At 34.7% G+C, this 8,271-nt stretch overlaps 1 annotated feature.

Annotated features, from left to right (window-relative positions):
- Positions 4,972-5,472: an enhancer, noted in NCBI's record as "H3K4me1 hESC enhancer chr11:25115650-25116150 (GRCh37/hg19 assembly coordinates)". NCBI's record gives its function as "activates a minimal SCP1, AML or CMV promoter by ChIP-STARR-seq in primed H9 embryonic stem cells {active_cell/tissue: H9 hESC(primed)}" and the evidence as "EXISTENCE:reporter gene assay evidence [ECO:0000049][PMID:30033119]".

The following is an 8,271-nucleotide window of genomic DNA, read 5'->3' as shown; positions in this document are numbered from 1 at the left end:
ACTTTTGAGTATTACAATAACTATATTATTTTTTCCACATATCACAGGCTGCAGCAAAGCACGACCTCAGGAGGCTTTTACTTTTCCACCTCCATCAGGTTTCTTGCCAGTTTATCCTAATTAAAATGATTTAATCAAATGTAGTAAATTTATTCTGTAAAAGATAGACAAAATAATTCTCCTAAATAGATCCATGTCCCTGAGAACATCCCTCCTATAAAGAGATTATGGAACTCACAATGATCCAAGTACTTCATAATAAAAATGTTTTTAATGGACATTATAAAAATTAACCACACCTTGCATTATACAGATTTCGGTTGCATCCAGCTTTTGTATAAGAATAATTAATGTCACTTTCCTATCACAATTAGATTTTTGTTGGCATAGGTTAAACATTCTTAATATTTTATCACTCATTGTCAAAGCAAAGAAAGCATAAAGCTACACAAAGAGTAGAATTGTTTTGTTCCTGATATATATTATCTACCTCTGAAAGCTTTAACTTATCACTCAGATTGTGATTTAATTAATATTGGCTAATATTGGCAGAGATATTACCAATTGAATCCCTAACTCATCCATTTCATTGTAGCAAGTTCGTATTATGAAAAACTATAGGAAAAAGTGTTTTCTTATTTACATAAAAATGGATAGAGCCAAGAAAAACTGTAACAAGTTCTAAGTGTCTACTTTGACAGACAGGATTAAAAGTAGGTGCTCATATTTGTTTTCTACTATATACTTTAAAGGGAAAAATCCAAACATACCACACACATGCACACAAACTAATTTGAGTCCTTTAAAGAAATATCCCCCCAAAATTACTCTGCTCCCTTCTTTTGAATGTCTTGTGGAAGCGACATTTTTAAAAATGCACTAGAGTAGTGGAACAGAATTAGAAGTGGATCTGTGCAAGAGGTGAGGAAACTAAGATGTGTTTTCAGTGGTACTGCTGAGAAATATGCCTCTGCATTCATTTAAATCTGTTAAGAAATTGGGTGGTAAATGTTTTTAGTTGTATTTGTTGTCATAAAAAGTGTATGTTGTCCTCTAATCTTGGCAAATGTTTCCATTTTCTAGTACAGAATATGTATTTGTATGTGTATCATAAAGAAATATGTATTATATATTTGTTATGTGTTATATTATACACACACACACACACACACACACACACACACTCTCTCTATATATATATAAAGACAGGGAGAGAAACTGCCTTTCAAAGATCCTACCTCTAAACACCATGAAGTTGGGGATTAGATTTCAACATATGAATTTTGGAGGGACATAAACATTCAGTCCATAGCCATAACTGAGATGTACTTACAGTAGAAAGTATATTATTGTGATCAGAATTAATTTTAAGATCAACAACTATGATTATAAAGATATATTTCACATTTTAAGCAAATGTAGCAAAATTATATTCACAAATCAATTTTTTCAATCTTTTAAAATTATTTTCCAAATTGGCCTCTAAGAGATATGGGCACTGGCCAGGAATGGTGGCTCATACTTGTAATATCAGTACTTTGGGAGGCTGAGGAAGGAGGATCTCTTGAGGCCAGGAGTTCAAGACCAGAGTGGTCAACACAGGGAAACTCCATCTCAGCAACAAATATAAAATATTAGAATATTAGCTAAGTGTGGTGATGTACGCCTATAGTCCTAGCTACTTTGGAGGCTGAGGTAGGAAGAGCTCCGGAATTTGAGGTTACAGTGAGCTATGATCACACTATTGCACTCCAGCATGGATGACAACAGTGAGACCCTGTTTCAGAAAAAAAAAAAATATATATATATATGTACATATGTGTGTATATGGGCACTGTATTCATTAACTCATAGTAATTCATATTTCCCTATTTTATATTTTATTCAGCTTAATCATTTATCTTAATATAGTTGTATCTGGATGACTTCTATTGTTTAAAAATATTCAACATGAACCAGTACACTTCTCAAAAAGTTTTATTATTGATTTTATATAAAGAACATATACGTGTATACATTATAATATATATATATATATATACATTTTTAAAATAAAGAATGAAAGGTGTTGACAGTTTTTACTACTGCCTGGATTAAGTTTCACTATAATCTACTACTTAGTTTATTACAATAGCCTTCTCAAAAGACCAAATAGATAAGTAGGACCAGATCCAACTTTAAAGTTTCTGCACATTGAAGAAAATAACAGAATCAAAAGGCAATGAAAGTAATGATTTTAAATGTAGTTATATATGCAACTCTTTGCTCAAAAACATCTACAGTTTTCTATTTCACTCAGAATAAAAGAACAAAAGTCATGATAAACAGCCTATCTGGCCATGCATTATTGCACTCATCATAACCTTGGACTCTTATCTTTAGGGCTCTCCAACTCACTCATTCTACTGTATCAGATTCCACCCTCATACTTCCTATCTGCATTTCCAACTTCAGTTTCCACATACTGCTTACCACTCTTTGAGCTGCTATTTTTCTTATGTCTTGTTGACTGTGCGTTCCTCCCTAATTCTTAACATTCACCAAAGATTGTAAACTCCATGAAACCACTGAGATCAAAAGATTGTGACTGTTATTTCCATAAGTGTATAGACAGAAGTGTTTTGTATCACTTGCATCTATCAAGTGTTAGGTATATGTTGAATGAATCAATGGAAGGTATGTGAATAAATTAACATTTTAAAGTATTTCTGTTACGCTTCAGTATGCTGAATAATGCACTTATTTTGGCTATATTACATATTGCTATTTGAAATAAGTTAATGGAAAAAAATGAATTAGGTTAACTCGGAATTTAAAATTTTTAAATAAATAACAATTTATAAGGGCAAGTAATAATAACATATCATTTTGTACTATTCTAACCACTTTAGACCTCTGATACATACGCATCTTTATGAGATAGGAATCAGCTGCCTGTTTAATTTAAAAACGGTCTTTGACCAGTGATCCTTGGTGAAGCCTACATTTAACATTAGGAAAAATATTTTTAAATAGAATTAATAATTAGTATCTTAAAAGTTATCATGGTAGTAAAATATGGTAAGAATGTGCTGGTACTCCGTGTTGTGTAATAATACACTTTTTAAAGACATTGCCATTAAAATTGTGATTTCTTCTACACATTCCTGGTGTTTTATAATTAAGGTACTCACCTGATTCTGTAGCTTGATTTCTATGGGTCCTAGAAACAAGATGTTACATTAGGATTTCATTAGGTGCCAAAACAACTACTTATAAGATGTTCTAAGTTCTGGTTCTGTACCAGTTAAAGAGAAACCCTTGTGAAAAGTGTCTGCTGTCTTCCAGAGACTAAATTGTAATTTATTGATATTTCTTTTACCTAGTTCACAATAATTAAAGTGTAAATCACACAGAGCATGGTCCTCTCCCTCCTCCATGACATGCAGGATGTAGCCTATCCTAGGTCACAAGCCAAGATGAACTTCTTATTTTATACTGAATTATTAATGCAGAACAAAACAGATACCATTATTTGTATTGCTAAGCACAACATATAAGTTTACTCAAGCCAGTTGGCCAAACTTAAAGGCTATAATTATTCTTAAACCACATCCTATAAGTAATAATGATAGATTTTGATGAACAATTGAACCACTAATAAAATCCTTCACAGCACTCAAATCTACTGTTTCTGTGACAACTAACCAATCATTCAAAATCTGAAGATTAAGAGATTTTGTTCTTTTTCATGCATAAATTAGATTTGAAGTTAATAGCCTGTTTTTAGAGAAATGAACCAATCTACAGATGGGATGAGGCTTGGAAACCTCCTCAGACATATTTCAGAAAAAAAACTTCTGTACAGTTATTGGAAATGAGAAATACTTTTCCACAATTACAGAACTTCTTTGAACCCAGTGTATTATTCTGTTCTCATGCTGCTATGAAGAAATAACTGAAACTGGGTAATTTATAAAGGAAAGAGGATTAAATGACTCACACTTCTGCAGGGCTGGGAAAGCCTCAGGAAACTTACAATCATAGTGGAAAAGGAAGCAAACACATCCATCTTCACATGGTGACAGAAGAGAGAAGAATGAGAGCTGATTGAGGGAGGAAGGCCCTTATAAAACCATCAGATCTCATGAGAACTCACTCCTATCAGCAGAAAACCATTAGGGTAATCTAACTCCTGATTCAATTATCTCCCACCAGGTCCCTCCCACAACACCTGGGGATTATGGGCAGTACAATTCAAGATTGAGATTTTGGTGGGGACGTGGCCAAATCAGATCACCCAGTTTCTGTGACTTTAGAATGAATAACTTAAGGCTTAAATGAGATATACTACAGAACTGCAGATAGAATTATAATTCATATCAAAGTGAAAAAATAACATTAGGTATGTGATATGATTTGGATTTGTGTCCCGTGAAAATATCATGTTGAATTGGAGGAGGGACCTGGTGGGAGGTGATTGGATCATGGGGGTGGGATGCTCCCTTGCTGTTCTCAGGACATCTGATAGTTTAAAAGTGTATGGCACTTCCCTGCTCACTCTCTCTCCTGTTGCCCGTAAAAAAGCTTCTTGCTTCCCCTTCACATTCCATCATGATTGTAAGTTTCCTGTAGGCCTTCCAGTCATGATTTCTGTTAAGCCAGTGGAACTGTGAGTCAATTAAACCTCTTATTTTTATAAATTACCCAGTGTCAGGTAGCTCTTTTTTTTTTTTTTTTTTTTTTTGTATTTACCTAAAACTTTATACACTCAAATTGGCACCAAAACCTGCCCCCTCCCGGGACCCCATCTAGAATGCCCTGGAAGAGCTGGAGGTGGCTGATGGATGTGTGACCACCCTCAGCACCCTGGGCCTCAAGTCTGCCAGTCTGTGCCAGGCTGTGCACCAGTGGCCCCCTGACCCTGACCCTAGCCCAGCTGATACCTGCTGCTCTGTCCCCCAGCCACAGGGCAGGTAACCAGTTGGTAGCCAGCCTGGCTGTGCCCAGTAGCGGTCCGGGCCCTGGGGACACCTGAGGTTGAGAGAGTGGCCCCCATCTGTGGCCACACTGCTGACTGCACACACAGAGTGGCGTGAGCACTCTCATTGCTGCTATTGAGTTCAGCTTTTACCAGCCTCAATCCGGAGTCTCCATCCCAGCACAGAGGCCGGGGTCTTGGCAGGGGCCCAGCTGGGGCTGGGCCCTGGGTTTTGAGGGAGTTCTTTACAGCAGCATGAGAACAGATTAATATAGTATGTCAAAGACAAAAACAAACAAAACCTAAGGGAATTGACTTTACTATGGCTATTGCAACAGGGTGAGGTTCCAATGTCCAAAACAGAGTGTTCCTGGGGGTGGTTTTGCCTTATCCTTTTATAGAAATGAGTGTACAAGTCAAAGGAAGAGTGATTTGCAGGGGAAATTTCAGTCAGTCACTAAAGAGAAAACATTTATTGCTGTGTTCAGCTGGTTCAGCTGGCTCTATTTGTCAGATCAGGCAAAAGGAGAGAGGTCTATATTTTGCCTTGTCACAGGTGGAGTCATTTGTGAATCTTATGAGAGTCATGAGAAAGTGTGTCCACCTATTATACAAATCATCTGGAGAGCTATTTCCTGAAACACACAATGGTGGGGGATTTCATAACTATCATTTTTCAGAAGAATAGGGTTCAGGTAATGTTCAATATTGTCAGGTACACAGTGCCCTTATTTCCATTATATGTAAAATTTGGAAAATAGTGCACCCCTGTCGTGGAGATGTTATGATTGCACTGTGCCAAGTACACAGATAGTATTTTATATTACTTATTCATTATTATCATTGGGGCTATTTTGATGTCATTACTTTAGGAAATTAGCTGCTGAGCTAGCACCTCTTTTTCCTTCTGTTTGATGATAGGGCAAGACATAAACTCTTCGCTTATTTTGCCTGTGTGGGCTGAGTAGTGTCTTTCTGATAGATTCACTCACAGAGCTTCTGTGACATGCAGTTGCCTGGTTGATGCTGACCGACCAAATATGAGGCACTAGACAGTTGCCAAAAATCTATAGTTCTCTGAGTACCCAAAGCTACTGAGTATAAGGGAGTATCTACCCAGAACTTCATTTTATTGATCTGTGGCCTAGAAATTTATCCACATTTATTTCCCTAGGTGATCTGCTCTGTGAATTTGAAGTGTGTATGTTATGAGCAATCCTGACTATGTAGAGTCAAGGAAATACATTAATAAGTAAATGAGGCTCACTTTATAAGTATAAATCATTATGATTCTGTTTGCCTGCACCCTATTTGTCTATGGTTGTCCAATCCAGAAGTAACATTTTCTTTATAAATGCCTATGAAATTCAGGCTGAAATTACTCTGAAGAACAATTTTCTTTTAATGACTTTCTTCCCAAATAATATTCATCTTTAAAACTTCAGTTTAAAAATGGATAATGTAATGTCACACACGTACCATTTTCTTAGCTGCAATTTTCCAAAGAATGAGTTCCTTAAAAATAATTCTCAGAAAAAGTGACTATAATTTTCAACAAATTAGCTTAGGCATAGGTTTAAAAATACAGTGTTTAATCATTACCTGCCTTTTTATTGGCTCACATGTGAAATGACATTTATTGCATCTCCCACTTATTAGACCTTCAGTTTCAGGAAATTCAGGCTACTCTTTGGGGAATTATCATGATTAAAGACCCTCATTCTAACATAACCCTTAATCACAACATAGAACATGTATCAGCCCCATGATTCCATACTAAATCATCAAGTCACTTTCCAAGTAGAATTTAAGTATTTATTTAAAGTTTTTCTTAAGATATAAAATTTTATTATACACATGAATTGGAAGAAGAGCAGTCAATAATACATAGACGGTTAAACTTTGAGTTGCATTAAAACTAAACTGAAAATTGGAATAAGATGTTCTGCGTTCAAGTTACTGTCCTGTCATTTACAGGTATTGTGACATTGGACAAGTTAGTTACTCTCTATGCATTTCAAATATTTTTAAGGATATTCATGTTAGAATATAATATGTACAAATAATATAAATAATAAAACATAATGATAATGTGAATAGTATCAATGATGCTTGACCCATAAGAGTTGCTGCATAATAAATTTCCTTTCCATGGTGTCAGTAGTCATATAATATATATTCATTCACTCTTTCATCCAACATATAATTAATGAATGACTATTACATGCCAAACAGTTCCCTTGCCTTCACTGGGTGAATTTATAAAAATATGCTTAAAAATGAATTATTTCTATAAGCAGCTAATAAAATGTCACATATTCTTACATATTCTTAAAATTCTTAAGCTACTCTTGGGAATAAATATAAGAAAGGGAATTGTGTGTTATAAAGACAATATAGAAGATAGGACAGATATATTGGATATGTAGAGAGCTGAAAGGAAGTTGAAACAAAAACACTTTGGAATTCAAAGGAAGTTTGAGTTGACTATCAGAATGTTAGAGGGTGTAATAAATCTACATTTGTCTAAGAGAAGGCTAATTTTACCAGGTTATAGCATTTCTGTAAGTACTAGTGAGTTCTGGCATGACATTGCCATGCAGTCAGGTTAGGTTTGTATCCCTCTGTGTTTTGGAAGGAAATAGGATATCTAGCTGCTGCTTTTGAACAGGGAGAGAAGCTAATTTATTTGCTCATGGATACTGTGGTAGCCACAACTATGGATTTATAAATGAATCTGGAGAAAATTGATATTTTTATTATATTGAGATTTACCATTGAACAGAGTATGTTTCTCTGTGTACTTCAGTGCTGTTTACTTTCTTTCACTGACATTACATATTTCAGCATAGAAATCCTATACAAACTTTCTTAGATTTTTGCCCAATTTATTTTGGTTTCATTGGAAATTTTTTTTAAACATTCTATTTCCATTTACATATACAAAAATAAAATTAACTTTTCTGTGTTTACATTGTATTCTATAATTTTCACTTATTATTAGGAGATTTTTTTGTCGTTGTTTCATTTGCTTGGAATTGCCTACATAGACACTCATAATATCTGTAAATAGAGACACTATTATTTTTTTCTTTCTAATCTGCTTAACTTTGTTGTTGTGGTGTTTGTTTTGTTTTATTTGACTGGTGAAGATTTCCAGTATAATGTTAAATGAGAGTGGAAAATGTGGACATTCTTCTCTTGCTACCAAATTTAGAATAAACAATTCATTTCCTAATGATTAAGTGTGATGTTCGTTGTAGCATTTTGTAGATGACATTTATCTATAAAATAATAATTTCCTTGTATTC

The sequence above is a fragment of the Homo sapiens genome, chromosome 11 (assembly GCF_000001405.40).
Source record: "Homo sapiens chromosome 11, GRCh38.p14 Primary Assembly".
Taxonomy (NCBI): domain Eukaryota; kingdom Metazoa; phylum Chordata; class Mammalia; order Primates; family Hominidae; genus Homo; species Homo sapiens.
The sequence above is the reverse complement of the archived record's forward strand: the minus strand, read 5'-3'. Positions and strand labels throughout refer to the sequence as shown.